The 26,117-nt window shown below is 46.6% G+C and overlaps 1 protein-coding gene across 22 annotated transcripts in view; it reads left to right on the top strand.

Moving 5' to 3' along the window:
* Positions 1 to 26,117, top strand: part of PARP16 (poly(ADP-ribose) polymerase family member 16) — a 55,967-nt gene that overhangs the window by 3,114 nt on the left and 26,736 nt on the right. For 5 of the 22 annotated variants that reach the window (XR_001751341.3, XR_001751342.3, XR_429459.4 and 2 more), the window contains exons 2-6: positions 12,698 to 12,835; positions 17,002 to 17,208; positions 20,450 to 20,621; positions 22,744 to 22,885; positions 24,225 to 24,306. Coding sequence is in view for 17 of the 22 variants with exons in the window: in XM_006720589.4 (XP_006720652.1) it covers positions 12,698 to 12,835; positions 17,002 to 17,208; positions 20,450 to 20,621; positions 22,744 to 22,885; positions 24,225 to 24,306 (741 nt within the window). In the remaining 5 variants the exon portion in view is untranslated. Of the gene's footprint in view, positions 1 to 12,697; positions 12,836 to 17,001; positions 17,209 to 20,449; positions 20,622 to 22,743; positions 22,886 to 24,224; positions 25,672 to 26,117 lie in introns of those variants that run through there. The other 17 variants (XR_007064469.1, XR_429460.4, XM_006720590.4 and 14 more) reach the window with 13 other exon arrangements.

Genomic DNA, 26,117 nt, shown 5'->3' with positions numbered 1-26,117 from the left:
ACAGGATTAACCCGTGGAGAGGTTAACAGTGTTAACCTCTCATACTAGGTAAGCGCCGTACAACATGGAAGCCCAGAGCAAGGACACCCCCTAGCTCTCAGCTTTGGGCCAGGCTCAGGGAACACCATCTAGGGGTGGAGGCTGATGCCTTGCCAAGTCCCAAGGCAGAACTTCAAGAGCAGAGAAGAGGGAAAGAGTATTCCAGGAGGAGTAGCAGGATGGTCAGCCAGGAGGTGTGAGCTTACAGAGAAGGACAAGACTGTGATTTAGTGTGACTGTTGTGGGGAACAGGAAGAGATGAGGCCAGCCTATGGAGCATGCAAGGCTACACATGCCCTGCTAAGTTGTGGAGATTTTTATCCTTGGGCAGGGGAGGGTATAGAGGTGAGATCCAGAAAGACACCTGTGGTGGCAGGGTGAGAGAGGGACCTGTTTGGGAGGAGTGTTTGGGGTCAGAGGGATCAAACTCACAATGCAGCTTTTTTTAAAAAAAAAAATTGAGATGGGGTCTCACAACGTTGTCCAGACTGGTCTTGAACTCCTGGGCGCAAGCAATTCTCCCACCTCAGCCTTCCAAAGTGCTGGGATTACAGGCTTGAGCCACTGCACTTGGCCACAGTGCAGCTTTAATTTTTACCAAGAAACATATCTCTAAGTGGACTAGAATCTGGAACTTATTTTCTTTCTGCTGGAAGGTCTTGGCGAATGCAATCAGGTTTGTTTGGTGAATATGGGATACATGCAAAGGGGCTTGTGGAGTTGTTTTGATCATGCTTTTTAAAATTTATTTTTAATTATGCAGGTAATGTTTGAATATATTCTCATTATAAAAAATTCAAATGATACCAGTAAAGTAAAAGTGCCCCTGATAGATCTCACTCTATCCCTCACCCCTCTGCAAAGGTATCAATTGCTCTGTTTGGGGCCCATCCTCCCCCTTCTCCCTTGCCCCACTTGTAATCCCTTAAGAGAGCATCAGCAACGTAGGTTGCCCCAAAAAGCCACCTCCTCTATAGAGACAGACTGCCCCTCCCATGGGGTTTATTGTACCAGTCCCAGATAGTTACCCTTTCTCTTGAGGGCTACTGGAGAAACACGCATTCTTACCATCCATTTCTGTTGCCATATTCCTTATAGGGCACCATTGTTGAGGAAAATAGCCCAGACTACATAGATTCTTGGCTGTCTGTAGGCATGGCCGTCAGCAGCAAGACTGCTCACAGGTGGGGCCTGGCACCATTTCTGGGGACATGCATACATTCTTAGATAAACACACACTTTAGGCCTCGTTTTGCCACGTCACATGAGTTACTGAAATGATGCAGAGAACTGGGCATCTGGATCTGTATCTGAATCAAAGTCTAACTTTTAAAGAAAAGGGAATCAGGTCTGGAATGGACTGGCTAGATCATTTTGTAGTTACCTGAAGAAGGAAAGTATGGAGCTGTTAAAAAGTCTCTTGGCTGGGCACGGTGGTTCACACCTGTAATCCCAGCCCTCTGGGAGGCTGGGGCGGGTCATTTGAGTCCAGGAGTTTGAAAGCAGCCTGGGCAACATGGCGAAACCCTGTCTTTATAAAAAGATTACAAAAAATTAGCCTGTGTGGTGGTGCACGCCTGTAGTCCCAGCTACTTGGGAGGCTGAGGTCGGAGGTTCACCTGAACCAGGAGGTCAAGGCTGTAGTGGGCCGTGATTGTGCCACTGCACTCCATTCTGGGTGACAAAGTGGGACCCTGTCTCAAAAAAAGTCTCTCACTTTCATTTGTTCAGCTAAAAGCACTAGGAAGTAATGTGAAAGTTTACCATTTTCAGTCATTTAAATCTTTGTCCACACTGTGAGGTGTTATTACACACCTATAACACAAGGGTTGCAGTTTCCAAAAATTAGACCTGTGCCTTAAATTACTTTATTGATTGGTGATTTCCTGAGAACTCCCCACTGCTGAACCAAGCTCTTGGCTTTAGGTCTGATCTAGCCTTATCTTACCACTGTCCTCAAAGTCCCAAATTATCCCTGAGGTGTCTTGTTTTGAGACCATTTTCGTGCTGATAAGCTCTCTGATTTTTTTTTTTTTTTTGAGATGGAGTTTCCCTCTTGTTGCCCAGGCTGGAGTGCAATGGCGCGGTCTCGGCTCACTGCAACCTCTGCCTCCTGGGTTCAAGCGATTCTCCTGCCTCAGTCTCCCTAGTAGTTGGGATTACAGGCAGATGCCATGACGCCCAGCTAATTTTTGTATTTTTAGTAGAGATAGGGTTTCACCATGTTGGTCAAGGCTGGTTTTGAACTCCTGACCTCAGGTGATTCGCCCTCCTCGGCCTCCCAAACTGCTGGGATTACAGGCATGAGCCACCGTGCCTGGCCAGCTCTCTGATTTTACACTGGGAGCTCTTGGTATTTCCAGTGCCTGGCCTGGGAAGTACTTATCAAATGTTTGAGGAATCACATTGTGCGTGTGCTGAATACCCAGGCTCAGGATTTCTCACCTTGCTTTTTGGGACCAGGGTTGGATGAGAGAACCTGTAACATTCTTGGGATTCCCTGTACCCCTTAACCATTGGCCTCCGAACTTCAGGTTTGTCACTTGACACAGTCGCAGCTGTACAGTTTTTTGTTCTGTTTTCCCTCCCGAAATAGCATGTTCTGGTTCTCCATTAGCCTGTAGACCCTTTCTGGGGGTGGGAAGTGTGTGGGAATGGCTTCTTTGTGTTAGCTCCAGGCCCTCGCTGCTTAGTGTGGTTGAGGACCAGCAACATGAGCCTCACCTGGGTGCTCATTAGAAAAGCAGGTCCTGCCTCAGACCTATCCAGTCAGGATCTGCATTTTAACAAATCTGGGCAATTTGTACACATAGTGAAGTCTGAAAAGCACTGCATGAAGCTTACCCTGTTCTCATTTGGGGTGCCAAACTGCTCTAATTGGGCCTCCTGGTCCTGGAGGAGTAAGGAGTCTTTCTCTTTTTTTTCCTCCCTCTTTCTGGTTTCTGGCTTGCACTGTCTAGACACCATGACTCCCCAGTGTCTGGGTTAAAGCGCATATAAGCTCCTCTCTGTCCTGAGCCCTCCTGATGCCATTTCCATCTTTGTTGAAGCAAACTCCCTCTCATCCTTTAAGATACACGTGAAATTTCCACCTTATTCTGTGCCTCCACTCCCTAGCAGTTAGGAGTCCTTCTTTTGGGTTTCTTTATAATTTTAAAATTTTGCTTTTATAAATAATACTTTGATAAACATCCTTCTACATTAATCATTGTTTATATCTGTTGTTGTCTTCTTGGATACATTCTGAGAGGTGAAATTGCTGGTCCATGGCTAATTTTTTTTTTTTTTTTTTTTGAGACGAGTTCTTGCTCTGTTGCCCAGTTTGGAGTGCAGTGGCGTGATCTTGGCTCAGTGCAACCTCTGCCTCCCGGGCTCAAGCGATCCTCCTACGTCAGCCTCCCGTGTAGCTGGGACTCCACGCACATACCACTAAGCCTGGCTAATTTTTGTATTTTTAGTAGAGATGGGGTTTCACCATGTTGCCCAGGCTGGTCTCAAACTCCTGGAGTCAAGCAATCCGCCTGTCTCAACCTTCCAAAATGCTGGGATTACAGGCGTGAACCACCACACCTGGCTCATGGCTAACCTTTCTAAGGAAGGCTTTCGATGCTTATTTCCATATTGGAAATTGAATATTGACATTAACTGGGGAAGATCGTTATTATTATTATTATTGGATTAAAAGAAAAAAGGCAGGAGTCTCGCTATGTTGCCTAGCTGGTCTACAAACTCCTGGTCTCAAGCAGGAGTTGTGTCATTGAGCCCGGTTTGGAAAGATCATTCTTTACAAGCCTCTCAACCTTGGTTGTCATTGAAATCACGTGGGAAACTAAGGAAAAAAAAAAACCCTGACGTCTGAGCCCCATCCTCAGAGATTCTCATTTGATTGGTTTAAAGTGCAGCCTTGGCATTGAGATTTTTTGTTTGTTTCCTTACAGATAATATGTAGCTTTTCTATTTTTCTAGTAACTGATTTGATCATTTTCATGAGCACCCATACCTGCTGGATGGTGAGGAAATGATAACAATTAGATTTGTTAATAATAAAAGTGCCTATTAGGTCTATACTTGATATCTCAAGGTAAGATTCTTGATCTCTCAGATTACCTTTTTATTTCTCTGCTCCTCTCAAAGATGGCATCTGAACAGTGGAGGAGAAAAAGTACACAGGTCTGAAAATATATGGATACAGACATAGATACATATAATATTATGTGACTGTCAGTGGGTAGGTATGTGTCTAGAAAGATATCAGCTAATGGGATGGTGATATGGAGGGTGAAGGGGTGGGATCCATCCCTCCAGGACCAGCCATCTCTTTCCTTCCAACGATCCCAGAAATGCAGACCTTTCCTCAGCAGATTGGTGAGCAGCAGAGAGAGGGTATTTGATTGATAATAATAATATAGCAACCAACACCTGTACCACACTAATAGCACTTACTGTTTGTGTGGCGCTGTCTTGAGCTGTTACTACACGTAGCTCATTTAATCCTCCTAACAACTCAGGGTTGTAGGTTTTAGTATTATCTTCATCACCATCAGCTAATCACTGGACGTGGTGATGGCACACCACTCTTGCTCCCAGGCACTAGGACTTTTAAAAGTTCCTAGGAGAACCCCTACTTCCTAGGAGAACCCTTTAGGGTCCCCATGCTGGCTCCTCCTGTGAAGAGTTCTTTTGTAGACTCTGATCCCTAATCTGTTTTGGCAAATCTGGCCTTTCATACTGTAGGTTTGTGCAAAGCAAATTGTACCTGTGGTGTCCACCTCTTCAGCCTTCATTTCAGCAGCCTTCTAGCTCCACTCATCGCCCCTGCCCCACTGTTCTGGGTGTCACTGTGGTCCCAAAAATGGTGACCTTGGCAGACCTTTGGTTCATTTCCTTCTCAGCACCTCCACCCACATCTAGTAACTGTGACCTCTGACACTTTCCTAGACAAGTATGTTTTTCAGATGTTTGTTCTTTCCTGCTGCCGCACCTTTCTAGGACAACATTGTCTAAGATCTAAACCTGAGTATCTCCAGCTTTTCCTGATGATAAGAATCACTTGTACCCACATCTGTAATCACAGATTCCTGGGCCACCTCCTCCCCAGGAGCTTGTGATCTAAGTGATTGCTCCTGCTCCAAGCAAGGAGGTTGAGTTGCTTCCTTGTAGCTCATTGGTCCTCTCTTTCCTCTGTGAGGCCTATTCACCCAAAGTACCTCTTTCCTAAGAGGCTTCTCTTCCCAAACCCCTGAGGCTCTCAGCTCTGCTCACCATTCAGATTCCCCCAGCTATCTCTCCAGCTATATCCTTCCTTAGTCCCCACAGCAGAGGCTGCAGATGTGTTGCCTGTGAGCTGACGGGTTTTGTTTGTCCTCTAGCTTTTCGGAAACTGGGAAATTAAAAAGACAGCTTGTTGATTTCTTTTTGAAACAAAAATCTGAGGCCTTACCACCTTTGGTGGAGGTTGCCCTAGGGCAGGAAGCAGTTGGAGCTCAGGGTTGGTTGGCCTTAGACGACTAATGGAGGCCGGAGTCACCAGTTCAACACAGTCTTCACAACTCTTTCCCGGGCTCCCGTTACTCATTTTCTTTACCTCTCGGGCCCTGGGGGACATTTGAGCCCAGGAGGAGCACTTTTTGGGACACACTCTGCTCACTTCTCTGCCCATCTGCCGTGCTCTTTCCCACCTGGAGTGGGAAACCCTCCCCATCCCTGGAAATACCTGCCTTCCTCTTGGATAATTATTCTCCTGGATCCAGTTGGCAAATGCCTTCCACTGCCATGTACTGATGTGTGATTCAGAATGCTTGCCTAGATGGTGATTTCTTCCACATACCCCTATACTGCATATTACATACATCTTTCTCCCTACCTTTGGCTTAGGCACAGCCAGTAGCTGTCTCAGTTGTATTATTTTGGGATTGGGGGGAATTCCAATATCATACCTGATTAGCTTCCCAAAGCAGTCTCTTAAAAATTCTGCCAGAATTGTTCCTTTGGGCTAAAATATTCAGTCCACCACTAAATTTCTCCATTCATTTGGTAGGAGTGTATGGCAGGAGAATAGACTCTGGAGTCGGGCCACCTGGCTTCATATCCCCACCCTGCCACTGAATAGCTGTGTGCCCCTAGGCAAGGTGCTGAGCATCTCCAAGCCTCAGTTTCCTCATCTTCAAAACAGGTTATGAGAATAACATGAGATAACAATAAATTCATGCAAAGCATTTATTCTGGTGGCTGGCACCTGTAAGGGTTCAAATTAATAGTAGCTATTACTCTTTTGTTCTTAACTTCATGCCAGGTTCCAGGCTGGCATGGGGATCCAGGGTAAGTAAGATGTGGTTGGCCTCAGGGAGTGTTTGTCCCAACCAGATATGAGTTGGCCCCAGAGGGTCAGGTACCAACATGGGGCTCTGCTGTATTGCTGAACACAATAGAATACAATTATTGAGTACAGAGGTTGTAGGTGGTCAGGGAAGGCTTCACGTGGGAGGTGACTGCTGACCTTGAAGACTCAGTGGGATGTCATGGTAGGCAGCCACAGAAGCACAGAGGAAGAAAACCATAGGTCACATGAGGAATAGCATTGGGGGTGGGGAGGGAGTTAGTGGCAGGAGGTACTGTTAAGCAAAGAGGCCAGACTGGATTCCTAAGTGCCTTATTAAGGGTAAGATTATTAGATTTAGCAAATAAAAATATAGGCCACCTAGTTAAATTTGAATTTAAGATGAGCAACCAATAATTTTTTTTTTTTTTTTAGATGAAGTTTGACTCTTGTTGCCCAGGTTGGAGTGCAGTGGCGTGATCTCGGTTCACTGCGACATCCACATCCCCGGTTCAAGCGATTCTCCTGCCTCAGCCTCCCAAGTAGCTGGGACTAAAGGTGTCCGCCACCATGCCTGGCTAATTTTTTGTATTTTTAGTAAAGACAGGGTTTCACCATGTTGACCAGGCTGGTCTCAAAGTCCTAACCTTAGGTGATCCACCCACCTCAACCTCCCAAAGTGCTGGGATTTTAAGTATGAATATGTCCCAAATATTGCATGGGTTATTTATACTAAAAAAAATTTGTTGGCTGAACACAGGGGCTCATGCCTGTAATCCCAGCACTTTGTGAGGCTGAGGCTGGTGGATTGCATGAGCCCGGGAGTTTTGAGACCAGCCTGGACAACATGGTGGAACCCTGTCTGTACAAAAAATTAGCTGGGCATGATGTCACATACCTTTAGTCCCAGCTACTCTGGAGGCTGAGGTGGGAGGATTGCTTGAGCCTGGAAGGTCAAGGCTGCTGTGAGCTGTGATCTTGCCACTGCACTCCAGCCTGGGTGACAGAGTGAGACCCCATCCCGTCTTTAAAAAAAACAAAATGGGTCTTTTGTTGTTGTTGTTGTTTATCTGAAATTCAAATTTAACCGGGCAGAGCGTATTTTAAATGGCAACCCTACTTGTGTGCCTGGTTCCCAAAAGGCCCTGCTAAAATGCAGACAGGTTTTAGTCACAAGAGGAAGAATCCTATTAAATTGTTGAAGCAGATTTATTTTTCAGAGTAACACGCAAAGTGAAATGGGACATAAAGAAGGTCAGTTGAGGAATTAAAGAGTGTGGACAGATGGTGGGGAGCAAGGAGGGCAGGATGCAGCAGGGACCCTGTCTGGGCAGATGCAGTAGGAGGGCCGGGAAGAGGCCTGGGTCCAGCTTGGAGCTAGGAGGCATCTCTCCCCTTTGTCCAGACTGAGTCCCTGAAAGGCACCTGGCTAGCTGACTGTCCTTTTGTGGGGCTCTCTGGGCCTAGATATGGACTGTTGACAAGGGCTGTGACTCACAGGTGGGATTTGAGGACACGAGTGATGGGAATAGTAGTAATCTTTGGAGAGAAGATGACTCAGCTCTGGCTCTGAGATAACAAGGAATAGAAAAGAAGGAAGGGGGATGAGTGCCCTTTGGACTGTGCAGGCAGCAGTCCTGTATGGGTAAGCTACCTGAGGGTACACCATTTGGGATATGTCTTCAGTGACTCTGTATAACCTACAGAACAAAGCTTGGGGTTCCCAAGTGGAGTACAGGGTCCTTCACAGGATCATTTGAGATGACCTCACTTGAGGTCACCTTCCCACTCTTCCTCTTGGCAGCCACTTCCCCACACTCTAGGTTCCAGCCACACAGAATTACCTGTTGTTAATGATGACAGTCATGGCAGTCACACTAACATTAGAGTACTTAATACTTTCCTGTTGGTTTGAGCACTTGTTTAACTTGATTAATCTCCACCGGGACCCTATGAAGTAGCTACTGATATTATCCCAATTATGTATTTGAGAAAGCTGAGACACAGGAAGTCAAACATCTCACTAAAGGTCACACAGCTAGTAGAGGAATAGAGCCCCAGATGCCTGGGAGAACTGCACAATTAACCATGCCACCACCCACTTCCCCAGCTACATGCTGCGCTTTTATACTTCTGTGGTTTCATATAGCAAACCCAGATCATACAGTACCTCCTCTGTGAAGCTGGTCCCAACCCCACCCCCTTTTCCTTTAGCCCCTACGCAACAGGAGTCCCACCTTGTCCTCTTAGTAGTTTGTATCCAACTTTGTTACGACAGTGAATGCTGCTTTTTTTTTTTTGAGACAGGGTCTCGCTGTGTCACCCAGGCTGGAGTGCAGTGATGGCTCACTGGCTCACTGCAACCTCTGCCTCTGGAGTTCAAGGGATTCTCCTGCCTCAGTCTCCAGAGTAGCTGGGATTCAGGTGCCTGCCACCACGCCCATCTAACTTTTATATTTTTAGTAGAGATGGTGTTTTGCCATGTTGGCCAGGCTGATCTTGAACTCCTGAGCTCAGGTGATCCGCCTGCCTCGGCCTCCCAAAGTGCTGGGATTACAAGCGTGAGCCACCACGCCTGGCGACAATGAATACTTTTAAGTCATTATTATTTACCTTTCTGCCTCCCCACTTGATTAAGGGGCCCATTTTAAATCTAATGCCTCCTCCTATAAGCACAGGGCCTGGCACAAAGTAGATGCTTAGTAAATGCCCCCTGAATAATGCAAGGCCATGCAGCCTGGGGGTGAAGCAGGTGGCGTGGAACAGTAAGCAAGGCATAGAAATAGCACCAATACTCATGGAGCATTTGCACTCCACACATCCTTTTTTTTTTTTTTATTCGAGACAGGGTTTCACTCTGTCACCCAGGCTGGAGTGCAGTAGAACAATCATGGCTCACTGCATCTTCTACCTCCCAGGCTCTAGCGATCCTCCCACCTCAGCCCAAGTAGCCGGGACTACAGGTGTACACCACCACGCCTGGATAATTTTTTTTTGTTGTTTGTTTGTTTTGTTTTGTGGAGATGCGGTTTCGCCATGTTGCCCCTGCTGGTGTTGAGCACCTGAACTGAAGAGCTCCGCCCACCTCAGCTTCCCAAAGTGCTGGGATTACAGGCATAAGTCACCATGCCCGGGCTCACACATCCACTTTCAAAAAAAAAAAAAAAAGTATGCTGGGCTTGGTGGCTCATGCCTGTAATCACAGCACTTTGGGAGGCTGAGGCAGGAGGATCACTTGAGTTCATGAGTTTGAGACCAGCCTGGGCAGCATAGCAAGACCTCATCTCTACTAAAAATAAAAAAAATTAGCTGGGCATGGCGGCATGTGCCTATAGTCCCAGCTATGCAGGAGAATCACTTCGGGTGGGGGTGGGATGGATCCTGCAGTGAGCTGTGTTTGTGCCACTGCACTCCAGCCTGGGCAACAGAGCGTGACCCTGTCTCCAAAAAAATTTTTTCTTTTAATAAATATTAGATTTTCACTGATACCTCATGAGGCCTGTAGAGATAGTTGGTGTTTTTTGTTTTTTTTTTTTTTGAAACAGAGTTTTGCTATTGTTGCCCAGGCTGGAGTGCAATGGCATGATCTTGGCTCACTGCAACCTCCACCTCCTGGGTTCAAGCGACTTTCCTGCCTCAGCCTCCCGAGTAGCTGGAATTACAGGCATGTGCCACTACGCCCGGCTAATTTTGTATCTTTAGTAGAGATGGGGTTTCTCATGCTGGTCAGGCTGGTTCAAACTCCCGACCTCAGGTGATCCGCCCACCCCAGCCTCCCAAAGTGCTGGGATTACAGGCATGAGCCACTGCACCCAACCTGAGATAGTTTTATTACAATATATGAGGCTATTGATTGAATCTCTGGAAATAGAAATAAAGTGGCCCTAAGATGTTTTTAATTTCATTTATTTATTTTTAGAGCCATCTCACTGTGTTTCCCTAGCTGGTCTCTAACTCCTGGCCTTAAGAAATCCACCCCAGCCTCCTGAGTAGCTAGGATTATAGGCATGAGCCCCCACACCTGGCTCTGTTTCTAATTTTCAACTACAGAGCTAAGAAAAACTCCCAAAGTCAGTAATAGTCAATTTTCTAGAAAAATGGAAAAGAACCACAGGTATTCTTTTTTTTTTTTTTTTTTGAGACAGAGTCTCTCTCTGTCACCAGGCTAGAGTGCAGTGGCGCCATCTTGGCTCACTGCAACCTCCGCCTCCTGGGTTCAAGTGATTCTTTTACCTTGGCCTCCCGAGTAGCTGGGACTACAGGCACATGCCACCACACCCAACTAATTTTTGTATTTTCAGTAGAGATGGGGTTTCACCATGTTGGTCAGGATGGTCTCAATCTCTTGACCTCGTGACCCGCCCCCCTCAGCCTCCCAAAGTGCTGGGATTACAGGTGTGAACCACCACACCGGGCCACCACACAGGTATTCTTGAAGTGCCAACTACATCCCTTGCAAAGCAGAAGGAAAGGTTGCCAGGGTTTGGGAGGACAGTGTTGTCTGGGGAGAAATGTAAATGGAAAGAAAAGAAATGGACATATATAGACCAAGCCCTGAGATTCTGTGACCTTCTTCAAACTTCCTGACAACCCCTTGGCGAGGTAGAGAGGTGCCCTTGTTGGAGAGGAGATAGAAGCTCAACAGAGATTCCAACTGAGATCTGATTCCACAGTTCATGCTGTTTCTCTGCATCCAGGAAAGAGGAGAATTGGAAAAACACAAGACAGTTCTTGACCTCCAGGTGTCTGGCCATACTTGGAAGGGAGAACTGGGGCAATGGGCTTTAGGGGCTTAGAGGAGAGAGTGGTCTCTTGGATCAGAAGTGCCTGGGTAGTAGAGGTGGGGGAAGGGGTATTCTTGGAACAAGACATGCTCCTGAATAGAACCAGTCTGTGATGGGGAGGGGATGGTAAGGGGTTGAGATTAGGCTAGAGGTGTTTAAATGCCATGCTGGAGAGGTTTGACCTCTAGTCAGTCATAACTTCTGAGCAAAAGCTACAGATACTTTGTTGCTATCTGTTAGTCCAAGTCCCCAGTCCCTTATCAGAAATCCTGGCACTGAATATGTTTCAGGATTCCGATTCTTCCTGATTTTAGAATGGTAAATAATGTGCTGCAATGACAACTAGGCTGAGTCCTATCACAGGTCCCACGGGACATCAGCCTAAATCCAAAGGCTCTAGGACTGATGACAGCTTTCAGCAGCACAGCATTAGGCACTGTGTTTCTGTGGAAGTCCTTGCAGTGGTCCACATAGAGGTCCAAGAGCTAGTCTTTGCCCCCAAAAGTGAAAACTTGGGAGTAAAGAGATGAGATCCACATGGGGTGGGTGCAGGAACTGCTCTGGCCTAAGTGAAGCTCCATTTTCCTCAGAGGCTGGTCTCACTCATGAGAATGTCATCAACAAAGCTTCCAGTGTTCCAACAAAACATTGTCACACTCTGGGAAACCCAAAGTTATGCATTCCCCATTTACAGTTCCTCCCAGGCCAGATGCCGTGTACCATGCTGGGTCATTTTTACCTTAAGCAGTGTTGCCTGATTACGTATGTAGTTGTCATACTACCTTTATCCAGTCTCCAGGGGAACAACTTAACAGAAGTTAACTAATTCTCACACAGAAAGGAAAAGGCTTTGTAATGTAGCGCTTTACCCACATGTGCATGTATCATGTATTCAGTCACACCTCCAGTGGGTGGCATGCCATACTCATGGCATGTTAATATTCCTGCAGCAGAATGCACTGATACTAACAGGAAGGGGATAGGTAAAGATTAAACCTCACATCAGCTCAGGTCAGGTTTGGTACCCAAAGAGTTTAAAAAAAAACAAACCACCAAGGCTGGGCATGGTGGTTCACGCCTGTAATCCCAGCACTTTGGAAGGCCGAGGCAGGGGGATCACTTGAGGTCAGGAGCTCGAGACCAGGCTGGCCAACATGGTGAAACCCCATCTCTACCAAAAAATATGAAAAGTAGCCAGGCGTGGTGGCGTGCGCTTGTAGTCCCAGCTACTCGGGAGGCTGAGGTGGGAGAATTGCTTGAACCTAGGAGGCAGAGGCTGCAGTGAGCCAAGATCATGCCACTGCTCTCCAGCCTGGGCGACAGAGTGAGACCCTGTCTCAAAAACAAAACAAAAACCCACCAAAAAAAAAACCTTTCAGATTTTAGAGCTTGTAAAGTTTAGTATTATTTGGAAAGGGGATTGTAGACCTGTGAATTTCCTCTCAGGAGATCCCTTGAGACGTGCAACAAGTGAACGTTGCCTGCCTTCCCACTAGAGGGCCCCTGATTATCACTGTGTCCGGGATCCTTGCTAATGGAAGTTCTTCCGTCGCTTCAGCTTGCAGATGCCAGCAAGTTACCTAACCTGAAAGAACTTCTCCAGTCCTCCGGAGACAACCACAAACGGGCCTGGGACCTGGTGAGCTGGATTTTATCCTCAAAGGTCCTGACAATCCACAGTGCAGGGAAGGCAGAGGTGAGACTTTGGTCCGTAGCATCACAGATTTTAGGGGCCTAAGGGCTCTAGGACAGCACTGAATCCAGTGGCTCTGAGACTTCCCTGTGTACCAGTGACCTGGGCAGCTTGAGAATGCAGAGTCCTGGTCCTCACCTTTAGACTTTCTAGTTCTGTGTCTGGAGTCAGGCCCAGGAGCTTTCCCACTGGCTGTACAAAGCTGAATTCTGTCTCATCTCAGCTGTGTGACCTTGAGTAGGTACCAGGTGCATTTCAGTCCCTCCGCTTCCTCATCTATAAAATGGGGATGATAATAGTATACTTCCATCAGGCACTGACTATGAGAATTGAATGAATTTTCACACTTTGAAAATGCCTAAGGGCACATACTAAGGGCTCAGTATGTGTTGGGATTCACTTTATTTAACAAGCACTGCTGGTAATTCTGATTAGGGTGACCCTGACCATACCTTAAGAAACTCTGACCTAGTTCAGTTATCAGGAGATGGAGAGGCAGAACTCAAAGGAGTGGAAAACCTCATGCTCTGGGTTCAAATCCCATTTCTATCGAAAAGGGCCTCCTTTTTTCCATTTATAAATTGAGATGCTGATAGTTACCTCAAAGTGGGGCACTGATAAAATGTGTGTCACCCCCCCAGCACAGTTTCTGGCACAAGTCAGACATTCCATAATTTGGTTTACCTTGCCTGGCTGGGGTCTCCCAGGGACAGGCTGGATAACAAGGACCAGGGTGTAGGACTTGATTCCTGCTCTGGTGCTCTTCCTTTACCCATACTGTTCATCACTTAATTCATTTCAATTTAAGAGTAATCAATTTTACAAGCTCCTGCCAAAGACACACATCTTTCCTATGTGGCGTAGAATTTGGTACCTTGGATTCTGGTATCTAAGGGACATTCTTCTGTGTTAGATGTTAAAATACCATAAAGAGCCCTGGAGGTGGGAGTCAGGAGATCTGTATTCAGTTCCAGGCTGGGTGGCTAATTCCTAGTGAATCTCTGGGTTTCACTGTTGTTATGTGTTGAATTCAAATTTATTCATTCATTTATTCTTACCTCATATGGGCATCAAGCACCTACTAGATGTTGGGTGCTAAAGTAGATAAGGCAATAAATAGCTCCTAGACTTTTGATTGTGGACCAGTTAAATTTCTTTTAAACTGTGGGGTATTGGGACCCAGGATTGTCAACTTTTTGTATTGCCCAAGTAAGTATGTTAGCCTACCATGTATCATCATTTTATAAAAGGATATTATAGTACTAAGAAAGGAGGATGGCCTTGACTTCAGAATGAAGAACAGTTCTTCCAAAGAAAGGTACATGGCAACCTTACATCAATATATCTGTTATATAGCCCTTATTTTGCTCATTCAGTCATAATCCAGAGAAAACTTTGCCATAGACTGGCTTTGGTCTGTGACCTACTATTTGAAAACCACTGGCTGGGTGCGGTAGCTCATGCCTGTAATCCCAGCACTTTGGAAGGCTAAGGTGGGCGGATCATGAGGTCAGGAGTTTGAGACCAGCCTGGCCAACATAGTGGAACCCCGTCTCTACTAAAAATACAAAAACTTAGCTGGGCATGGTGGCGGGAGCCTGTAATCCCAGCTACGTGGGAGGCTGAGGCAGGAGAATCGCTTGAAGCCGGGAGGCGGAAGTTGCAGTGAGCCAAGATGCCGCCACTGCACTCCAGCCGGGGCAACAGTGCAAGACTGTATCTCAAAAAAAAAAGAAAGAAAGAAAGAAAGAAAGAAAGAAAAAAACCGACTAAAATGGGCCAGGTGTGACCCATTGTCCTGGCTTGTCTTGGGTAACTGGGACTATAGGTGTAACCACTATAGAGAGGAAATTCACAGGTCTACAGTCCCCATTCCAAATAATACTAAACTCTACAAGCTCACGCCTGTAATTCCAGCACTTTGGGAGGCCAAGGCAGGCGGATCACTTGAGGCCAGGAGTTCAAGACCAGCCTGGCCAAAATGATGAAGCTTCGTCTCTAATAAAAATACAAAAATTAGCCAGGCATTGTGGCACATGCCTGTAATCCCAGCTGCTCGGGAGGCTGAGGTAGGAGAATCGCTTGAACCTGGGAGGTGGAGGCTGCAGTGAGCCAAGATCGTGCCACTGCACTCTAGGCTGAGAGACAGACTAAGACTCCATCTCAAAAAAAAAAGAAAAAACCACTGAAATGGACTAGGGGGCAGTGGCTTGCGCCTGTAATCCTAGTACTTTGGGAGGCCAAGGTGGGAGGATTGCTTGAGGCTGGAGTTCAAGACCAGCCTGGGCAACATAGCAAGACCCTCTGTCTATGAAAAATTTAAGAATTAGGTGCACATAGTAGTTGCACCTATAGTCCCAGCTACTCAAGAAACTGAGGATAGAGGATTGCTCGAACCCAGGAGTTCAAGGCTGCGATGAGCTAGGATCACACCACTGCACTCCAGCCTGGGCGACAGAGCCAGATCCTGTCTCAAAAACAACAACAGCAACAAATGCTAATTGCTTCTCATGATTTTGTGGGTTGGTTGGGTGGTTCTGGGCTTGGCTGGATGAGCTAGGGTGGCCTCACTTACATTTCTGGGGCTTCAGCTGGGATGGCCACCATGCTGGAAGCCTTCCTCTGTGAGGCTCATACTCTATAGCAGACAAGCCAGGACAATGGTGAGGGGTTCTCAGCAGCAAAGAAGGAAAGACAAGCCCTTCTCAAGTCTCTGTTTGCTATATATATGTTAATGTCCCGTTGGCCAAAGCAGGTCACATGGCCAAGCACAGTCTTAAGGGTGGAGAAGTAGGTTCCATCTTTTGATGGGATCTTGGTAGAATCCCACCTGCAAAACCACATTGCAGAGGGGTGCATGGACAAGGATGAGAGGGAATTTTTACAATAAACATGAGATGATTGTAAAAATGGAATGCAGGAGATAGATGTAAAAGTGTTAGGAAGTGGCCGGGCGTGGTGGCTCACGCCTGTAATCCCAGCACTTTGGGCGGCTGAGGCGGGTGGATCACGAGGTCAGGAGTTCAAGACCAGCCTGGCCAAGATGGTGAAACCCCATCTCTACTAAAAATACAAAAAAAATTAGCCAGGGGTGGTGGCACGCACTTGTAATCCCAGCTACTCCGGAGGCTGAGGCAGAGAATTGCTTAAAAAACCTGGAGGGGCAGAGGTTGCAGTGAGCTGAGATGGCGTCACTGCACTCCAGCCTGGGCGACAGAGCGAGACTGTCTCAAAAAAAAAAAAAAAAAAAAAAAAAAAAGTTAGGAAAATTAGAAGTGATCTCCACTTATTTTTTTAATTATTATTTAATTAATTAATTTATTTATTTTTTGAGACGGAGTCTCGCTCTGTCGCCCAGGCTGGAGTGCAGTGGCGCCATCTCGGCTCACTGCAAGCTCTGCCTCCTGGGTTCACACCATTCTCCTGCCTCAGCCTCCCGAGTAGCTGGGACTACAGGCGCCCACCACCACGCCCGGCTAATTTTTTGTATTTTTAGTAGAGACGGGGTTTCACCGTGTTAGCTGGGATGGTCTTGATCTCCTGACCTCATGATCCGCCTGCCTCGGCCGCCCAAAGTGCTGGGATTACAGGTGTGAGCCACCGCACCCAGCCCTGTGATCTCCACTTAGAAGGAGCAATTCATGCTTCTCAGCCTACTGTAGGGAAAAATGTTATTATTTATTATTATTATTTTTTTAAATGGAGTTTCACTCTTGTTGCCCAGTCTGGAGTACAGTGACGTGATCTCTGCTCACTGCAACCTCCACCTCCCAGGTTCAAGTGATTCTTCTGCCTCAGCCTCCTAAGTAGCTGGGACTAAAGGTGTGCACTGCCACACCCGGCTAATTTTGTATTTTTAGTAGAGATGGGGTTTCACCATGTTGGTCAGGCTGGTCTCGAACTCCTGACCTCAAATGATCCACCTGCCTCGGCCTCCCAAAGTTTTGGGATTACAGGTGTGAGCCACCACACCCGACCGGGAAAAATGTTATTAAAGAAAGCAGTCTTGTGCTATACGCTCTGAGTTTGCTTATGTCTCTATCCTCATGAAACCTGTTGTTCTCATGAGCAGAGTCCATGGGAGTTAAGCCTGAGAGTTTAGGGGGCTATTTTTGCAGCACATTTACCAGCTCCCCAAATAAAATTTTGATGCTCTTCATGTTTTCAAGTTTGAAAAGATCCAAAAGCTGACTGGGGCTCCTCACACGCCTGTTCCTGCACCGGACTTCCTGTTTGAAATTGAGTACTTTGACCCAGCCAACGCCAAATTTTATGAGACCAAAGGAGAACGAGACCTAATCTATGCATTTCATGGTAGCCGCCTAGAAAACTTCCATTCCATTATCCACAATGGCCTGCACTGCCATCTGAACAAGGTGGGGCCTAAGGGACACCCTGCTGATGTGGGGAAGCAGGGATGGAGGTGGGAGAGTGGGGAGGGGGAGATTCAGAACCCTAGGAGTTTGCAGGTGGGGTCGGGTAGGTTTACTAACGCCTTCTCACTCAAAATGTGGTCTGCACACCAGCAGTGGCAGCATCACCTGGAGACCTAAGAAAATGCAAAATCTTGGGCACACTCTAGACCTTCTGAATCAGAACCTGCATTTTAACAAGATCTCTAGGTGATTCCTGCACTGGTTATAGTTTGAAAAGCGTCGATTTAAAGATAGTTCCCGACCTTGGCTGCATATTTAGAATCACTCGGGGAGCTTTTAAAAATCCCAGATGCCAGGCCTGGCGCAGTGGCTCACGCCTGTAATCCCAGGACTTTGGGAGGCTGAGGGAGTTCCAGACCAGCCTGGCCAACGTGGTGAAACCCCATCCATACTAAAAATACAAAAATTAGCCGGGCATGGTGGTGGGTGCCTGTAATCCCAGCTACTCGGGAGGCTGAGGCAGGAGAATTGCTTGAACCTGGGAGGCAGAGGTGGCAGTGAGCTGAGATCGTGCCATTGCACTCCAGCCTAGGTGACAGAGTGAGACTCCATCTCAAAAATTAAAAAATAAAATAAATAAATAATAAAAAATCCCAGATGCCTGGCTGCATCCCAGACCAATTAAATGAGAATCTCCGAGTGGAGCACAGGCATCAGTTGCTTTAAAAGCTCTCCAGGTGATCCCACTATGTAGCCAACCCTAGCTCCACTGTGCGTTCCCTGGACCAGCAGCGTCTGCATCACCTGGTAGCTCGCTGGAAATGCGAATCTCAGGCGCAGACCACCTGATCGGAATCCACACTTTAACAAGGTCCCCAGGTGATCTGTATGCATATTGAAGTTTGAGAAGCACTTTCCTTGGGGACCACACTCCAGGAAATCAGCCCTTGGAGAAACTGAGGGATATGCCAAGATGCACCGAGGAGAGGTCCTTTCCCTCCCCTCTTGAGCTGCTTTTGTCCCATTTTTATGAGTCAAAACAGTCATCTATCCACTTCTCTGCAGGCATTTATTTTACCCCTCAGGTATAGGAGGAGCATTACAGACAGACCCTGGAGCTACAGAGACTTACTTAGCAGCTCTATGGCCCTGAGTAAATTAAACTCTCTGAGCCTCAGGTTCTTCATCTGTAAAAAAGGACACCATTACCCTCCTTCTTATATGTCAGAGAATTAAAACAGTTCATGTATGCAAAGGGCTCTTTGTGTACTAAGTACCAAGGAAGAGGTAGCTGCTTTTATATGCTGATGGAGGGGCATCTAGGGTAGTTGGAGGAGCTGCAGGCCTTTCCCCCAGTCATGGCAGTATCTGCCTTGTCTGTGAGGAGCTGGCTCCATGAGCCATGGGCTCAGTTGTGGCTGCTGCAGCCCTGAGACTGGAGATATTTCCCTGGTGTATCTGGTTAATGTCGTTGGGTTTTGCTAAGGATGACGGGCTTGTTTACACTGGCTCTCAGTCCACCACTGGCTCTCAGCTTACCATTATGTCCAGGCTACTGGAATTCAGGGGGCTTCCCCTTTACACTGGTGCTGGCCTGGAGAAGTTGCCTGCAGATTATACTCTTGTACACTAAACCTTCATTTTAGTGCCCCAGGGAGTTTGCTGCTTAGAGGCATCTTACAAAAATCCTTTGGTAAAGCACATCAATCCTCCTATGGCCCCTCTGCCTGGGTTTTCAGTGAAGGGCTTGCTTGAGGGAGTCCATCTGCCAGTTGATACTGATACTGTTTTCATGGCAGAGATACACTGAGCTTCCCACTCTTGTACACCACTGCTCATGGCAGCCTTGCATGGGGTTCTCAAGTCTAAGGAAGGGTGAACACATGATGGCATAAGCAGAGAATGGATGTGGGGTCAGATCAGAGGGCATCCAGTGTCATTGGAGAAGGTCTGTGTCAGCTTTTGAGAGATGGAGACCCTGCCTAACTTGGCAAAGAGCTTCCCAAAGGCCAAGCAAAGGTCTGTTTCATTTCCCCTAAGCTTCACTTAACAGATTTAGGATTTTGGAAGCCTGGTGCTACTGAAAAGGACATTTCTCAATTCCAGAGCATAAGATATTCTTCAGTGAGCTATTCAAGTCCACTTATCTTGAGATACTGATAGTGTGGCTCAGGGATAGCAGTTGAATTTCAACCTGAGCGTCAATGTCCATCCATTGGTCGCAGCTACCTGGAATGTTAAGTTGAGGATTCTGGATCATTAGGAATAAGTGCCATGCTTGATATTACTGTGCTGGCAATTGTGGTTTGTTATTGGTCATCTACCATGGGCAAAGATGTGTTCACTATGCCTGCTGTAGCCTCAACTTACAGGTCCTTCACCTGGCATGCTTCCTTATGGAGGGCACCACCAGGGAGATGCTGCCTAGATTTTTAGATGTTTTCTTGGTCAACCCCAATACAAAGAGTAAAACGTACCTTGCCCCGCATGTCGGCCTCCCTCATTTTGTTATAGTTTCTGGTCTAAGAGACTAATTTCTAATTTATTTATTATTTTTAATTTTTATGTTTTTATTTATTTGTGAGAGACTCATTTCTTTTCCAAGTAATGACTCAGATTACCTCCCTTCTCAGGTGGGACCCCTTCCCTGTACCTAAGGGTGTGACTTTGCATTTGAAGCCCATCAGAGTAACCATGCCTACTGCATTCATGTAACAGGAATTACTTTATATACTAGAACATAAAGGCCTGCAATGGAGTACTGGCCCCTCATTTATTTAGATGTGCCAGATGTCCCACTCTTTTATGTATGTATATTGCCTCATTTAATCCTCACTGGCAACCTTGTAAAGGAGCTACTAGTAACATTATTTTGTAGATCTAGAAACTGAGACACAGAGAGTTTATATAACTTGCCACTTGCTGGAGGATTCAAACCGAGGTTGGTTTGGATGCTTATACCTATGTTTTTCTCACTCAACCTTGACCACAAGGAACTGCTAGTTTGCCAGGCCAGATGGCCAAATCCACAATCAGTTAAACTGTTGTCAGGCAGGAATGTGTTTAGTAATAACCCTGTGATGATATCACAGGATTATTTGATCCTGTGTCTTGCTGGGGCAAAAAGCGGGGGTTGTACATTTTGTGTTTACAACTCTTGAAGAGAGACCTGTGTCGTCTTGCCGTGCCAACTGTACATTCAACCATCTGTGTTTCTTTTCCATTGGCCTTGCTGTTGCAGACATCCTTGTTCGGAGAGGGGACCTACCTCACCAGTGACTTGAGCCTGGCCCTCATATACAGCCCCCATGGCCATGGGTGGCAGCACAGCCTCCTCGGCCCCATCCTTAGCTGTGTGGCCGTGTGTGAGGTCATTGACCATCCGGACGTCAAGTGCCAAACCAAGAAGAAGGGTGAGTGAGCACTTGGTCCAGACCTGGGCTACAGGCCTCTGTTGGGTGTACAGGCTCTTGCTGGCCCAGCTGTTGGGTAGAGCACCCATTGCATGCCCAAGGGTTGGGCTGGATCCAGGGCAGTGCCGGACAGGGTCCTGCCCAAGGAGCGAGCAGTCTTCTTAGAGATTGAACACTCAATGGAGACCATTCACTACAAGGGGGTAGGTAGGGGGTGCCAGGTAAGGAGGCTGACGAGGCCCACAGAGGCAGCTCAGAGGAAGTAGTAATCATGGTGGGTCCAAGCAGCCAGGGAAAGCTTTGTGGGAGGAGGAGAGATTTGAATTTTTTTAAAAAGTGAGTGATGAAGCCAGTGCGTGGGCTCCTTGAAGGTAGGAATGAGATCTCATTCATTCTTGGGCACCGGGTATCGGCAGAAAGCCTTGGTATGTACTTGATATTCAATAAATATTTGCTAAATGAAGCAAAGGATGCTGGGTCCAGACCCTCCGATCTACACTGGCGTGTGCCAGATCCCTCCAGGATGTGAAGGGCAGCCAAGGTGCTGGGGAGTCCTGAGCTCTCCAGAGAGTGATGACTAGCTGGCTACCTCATCCCACTCCCCTACTGTGTCCCTGAGACTATTTGCCTTGTCTCCCCCCACCATTGTGTGGCTCTCCTCAAAGGCAGAGCAGTCATAGAACTGTCATTCCAGTCTCCAGAGCTGGCTTGTTGGGGCCAGGTGCGGTATGGCTCACGCCTGTAATCCCAGCACTTTGGGAGGCCAAGTCGGGTGGATCACCTGAGGTCAGAAGTTTGTGACCAACCTGGCCAACGTGGTGAAACCTCTTCTCTACTAAAATTAAAAAATGAGCCGGGTGTGGTGGCGTGTGCCTGTGGTCCCAGCTACTTGGGAGACTGAGTCATGAGAATCGCTTGATCCCAGGAGGCAGAGGTTGCAGTAATCCAACATCATGCCACTACATTTTAGCCTGGGCAACAGAGCGAGACTCCATCCAAAAAAAAAAAAAAAAAGAAAGAAAAAAGATCTGGCTTGTTGGTTCCAAGAGAATTCAGAAAACTGACTGTTCTGGCCTCTAATGTAAAACAACTGGAATTCTGAGATGCAGGCCCAGGTCTGACACCACCCTCCCAAACCGGACAGCATGGATATTTGCATTTATAATTCTTAGGAAGTTTGCAAACCGTGACATTAAACATCAAAACAAAACCTTCCAACTTCTGCTGTCACGCAGCTTTCGTCTTCCTAGTTTTTTGTAGAACTTTTTTGTGCTATTAAAAGAAAAGGGTTTTTTGTTTGTTTGTTTTAAAACAAGTCTTGGTACGAAGGGTGGAAGATAAATGTTCTAAGAACCTCAAATCCAGAGTGGTTCATTTAAAATGCCTGTTAAGGCCGGGTGTGGTGGCTCATGCCTGTAATCCCAGCACTTTGGGAGGCTGAGGCAGGCTGATCACCTGAGGTGTCCGGAGTTTGAGATCAGCCTGGCCAACATGGTGAAACCCCGTTTCTACTAAAAATACAAAAATTAGCCGGGCATGGTGGCAGGCACCTGTAATCCCAGCTACTTGGGAGGCTGAGGCACAAGAGTTGCTTGAACCCGGGAGGCAGAGGTTGTAGTAAGCCAAAACTGCGCTGTTGCACTCCAGCCTGGACGAAAAAAGCAAGACTCCATCTCAAAAAAAACAAAAAAAAAACAAAACATGTATATATATAAAACGCCTCTTAACAGGCATTTTATATATAAAATATATATAAAATTTATATATAAAATGCCTGTTAAGAGGCGTTTTCAGATCAAGTCCTGTTCCTAGCTTCCAGTCCCAGCGTATTTCTTTGCTATGGCCATCAATTTGCTTCTTCCTTCTGTTCTCCCCACTCAGTTGAGTTTTGTTTTTTCTTCCTTGTATCCCTTATATTTTCCTACTCTTTTTTTCCTCCTCCCATTTGCCTGCCAGATTCTCCGTTTTTTTCAGTGCTGCTTCATGCACACACAGGTCTGTTCCTCAGCCTGCCAGGCCTTCTTCCCCCTCAGCACCAGGAGGCTTGACTTATTTCTATTTATAATGTGCTTCCTTAGTTCTGTTTCCCCCAGTGAAGATGTGTTTTACTCTCCTTATTCAGATTCCAAGGAGATAGATCGCAGACGAGCGAGAATCAAACATAGTGAAGGGGGAGACATCCCTCCCAAGTACTTCGTGGTCACCAATAACCAGCTGCTGCGAGTGAAGTACCTCCTGGTGTATTCACAGAAGCCACCCAAGAGGTAAGGTCCAAGAGAACAACTAATGGCTGTATTCAGAGTGCTGGCTTTCTTAGTTGTTGTAGGTATCAGCCTCCCCTCCCCCAGCCTTAGACCTCCGCTAGATGTCAAGTATGTAAAGCACCATGCTGGACACGGTGAGAAGTGAGAGATAGGATCTGGAGAAGATGTGGTCCCGACCCTAAGAGGACTGTATTCCAGTGAGAAGAGAGAAAGATTGGTAAACACAAATAGCATGAGAGACTGACTGAGTCCAAATTGGCTGCCGCAAACAGTGTGGCCCCTTAGCCATTAGGCCCATGATTGCAGTCTGAGACCCACCGATGAGGTTAAGCTGAGAGGCAGGGCAGTGACTGGACACCGGTTGTGATTGTGCACAGGCTGGCTCAGTAGCTTCCCACAGTGGCTGCTGAACCACTGACTGCCCCTCTCTGGACCTGAGATGCTTCATCTTTATCTCTAAAATGAGGGCCTTGAACTCAATAGCAGATGTGGGCCTTCAGACCTTATCAGCTTTGGTGGATGCCTAGTTCCATCTCTGCAGTGTGGGAGTAAGTGTGGGGCTCACCAGCGTTGGGGGCCACTCTTGAGATTTTGTTGCATTGTTGGAATCCATGATGGTGCTTCTTGCAGGGGCCAGCAGCAGGTAAGTAGATATGACAGGAAAAGGGGTCACTTTAAATAATCCCCACTCCTGCTTGTACACACCAGTGGTTTCCATGCTTCCAGACTTCATAAACCAGTAAAGTCTCCTCCCGACCCCTGTCCAAATTTGGGAAATGTATATAGGGTGCCTGGGTCCAGGTGACATTATGCTTTGGTTTAAAATCATCTAACTTTTTATCCTTGAAAATTCCATTCCTTTCCCACTTCTCCCTGGAGCATCTCTTTAGTGCACACTTGGGTGGTTTAGATCATCTCCTAGTGGGCCAAAGAGGATTTCCCCAGCTTGGATTTATATCTGCATGTGTCTAAAAGTGAAAAGACTTCAGCTAAATTACCTGCCACCTGCCACCATCTGGGCAGACACCCTGAGCTAGGTCATTGTTATAGATACCAAGATGGGTTGTAAATGGTAAAAGAGGAGCTACAAAAGGGAAGATCAGGATGAGCTCATTGCATAGCTGTCTTTGCGCATTTAGAAAATATCCTGTTGAAAGGCGTGTCAGTGCCTGGGCAAACAGCCCCAGGTTTCTTGAGCAAGGAAGCACGAAGCTTCATTTCATGGCTCAGGCAAAGGATGAAATTCATCATTTTGTCTTCTTAGAGCCAGACTTGTTGTACACACTTAAAAAAAATGTTTTTCTCTTTTTGCCAACACCACTCTTTTTTCCCTCTTAAGCAGGGCTTCGAGCCAGCTCTCCTGGTTTTCCAGCCATTGGTTTACCGTCATGATATCCCTGTATCTGCTGCTGCTGCTCATAGTGAGTGTCATCAACTCCTCTGCTTTCCAACACTTTTGGAATCGTGCGAAAAGATAATCTTTCTGGGCCTGGTGTGGGGGCTACCTCAACTATGTGCCTTATGGTAACTTGTTCTGTACCTCCTATGCCTCATGTCCAGCCAGGTTGAGCCTAGGGGCCAGTTGGGGGACCACAGGACAATTTTCATATGGCCTAAATGTATCCATTGCCTTTGATGATGTTCCCAGCCATACTCCAGTCAACGGGGACTACTAGTCCCTCACTCTTAGGTTTTAGGGGAGTCCTTCCATCTGCTCCTTCTTAAACTGTCCTAGGGAGTTGGCTTTTCAGCCAGGGCCAAAGGAAAAAGCCCTGCTGCATTTAAAAACAAAGTGTCCAAGCTGTCAGTGGTGTGTTTACAATCTCTCCTGGCAGAGGTTGGCCCTTTCTCTAATGCCTTCTGGAAGGCGGAAAATGTGGGAACTATAAATCACTAGGCGGTTGCCTTGTTTTGACTTGAGACACCCAAGAGGAACAGTCATGTTTCTCATAAAAATCAGTGGGATCATTTTTGAATTCCATCAGCCTTTGTATGTGAGTGCAAAACATTTTAACAGTTTTCTCAAATCAACAAACAGCCTTCTCCTATAGCTGTACTTGCCCCCCTCCCCAAAAAACCATGGATGAGAAAGAAAGGAGTCAGGGGCCTGATAAAAAATACAGACTTAATGAGCAACTCAAGATGAGAAAACTGCTCTTTTTCCAAAAATTACCAACTGCTGATTACAGCTGAAATGGAACCAAATGTTTGTTTTCTGATTTTTTTTTAATAGCTGTTTAACAAATTAGTCTTTGCTGAGTAAAAGGGGAAATTTCTAAACCTAGTGCACTGTTTGGCCAGTGTCCACAGCCTCTTTTCTGGCTGTGTTTTAGAGAAAGGGATTTGAGCTATAGGCTCGCCTCCTGTTCTCATTCTCACAAAGCTGCCTTGACTGTGGCCTGCAACCACGAGTGCCATGCTTTCAGGTCTTCTGTGGCCTACTGGCCTTCAAGACAGAGGCCTGCCCCAGTGTGCCACAGATCCATGTGGATGGAGCCTCCTTCAGAGGGGTCACAGGTCTTTGAGACTCAGCCTGGGCTTTAATGTGTAGGAAAAGCCTTCTGGCCACCCAGAGAGCCGGAGCCCTGCTTGCTGTATTCTCTGCTCCCTTCTTCCTGCTGGGTTTTAGCCATAATAGGGCCCGGTACGATTTGGGAGTGACATTTCTGTAAAGAAGAGGAAAAATCATTTTTCTATAATTTGTAAAGTTGTGAAAGAGCCACTACCACAGTTTTTACATTGATTATTGGAACATTTCAGAATAAATAAAGATATTTTCTTAATGATTTAAGTTGCCTTTGTGAGTGCTTTTAGCCTTAGTGTGAGTCTGCCCTATATGCCTTGTTGTTAAAAACTTTATCTTCCATCCTTCCTTGTTCAAACTAGCTGTTTGCTGGAGAGCATATATCACCAGGATATGATATCTAGGAGGTGTTGGATTTCTAGTTAATGACTTAACAAACGTGAGTACCTACTGTATGCCAGGCACTAGGAATACGAGCAGGATCAAAGTCAGAAAGCCCCTGCTTTCACAGAGCTGACAGCCTGCAAGGTGGGCAGATGGACAAACATTTCAAGAGTGAGGTTGGGAGTTTATGGTATTATAAAGTTTAGGGAAATACTTGGCAAGGAGTCCTAACATGGTCTAGGGTCAGAAAATACTCAGGTGACACATGTAACATTGCAAGGCACCTTACTATACTGGTTAATTTTCACAACAGGCCTTATCTAC

Source organism: Homo sapiens, chromosome 15 (assembly GCF_000001405.40).
Source record: "Homo sapiens chromosome 15, GRCh38.p14 Primary Assembly".
NCBI classification, from domain to species: domain Eukaryota; kingdom Metazoa; phylum Chordata; class Mammalia; order Primates; family Hominidae; genus Homo; species Homo sapiens.
This window is presented reverse-complemented; position numbering and strand designations above follow the sequence as displayed.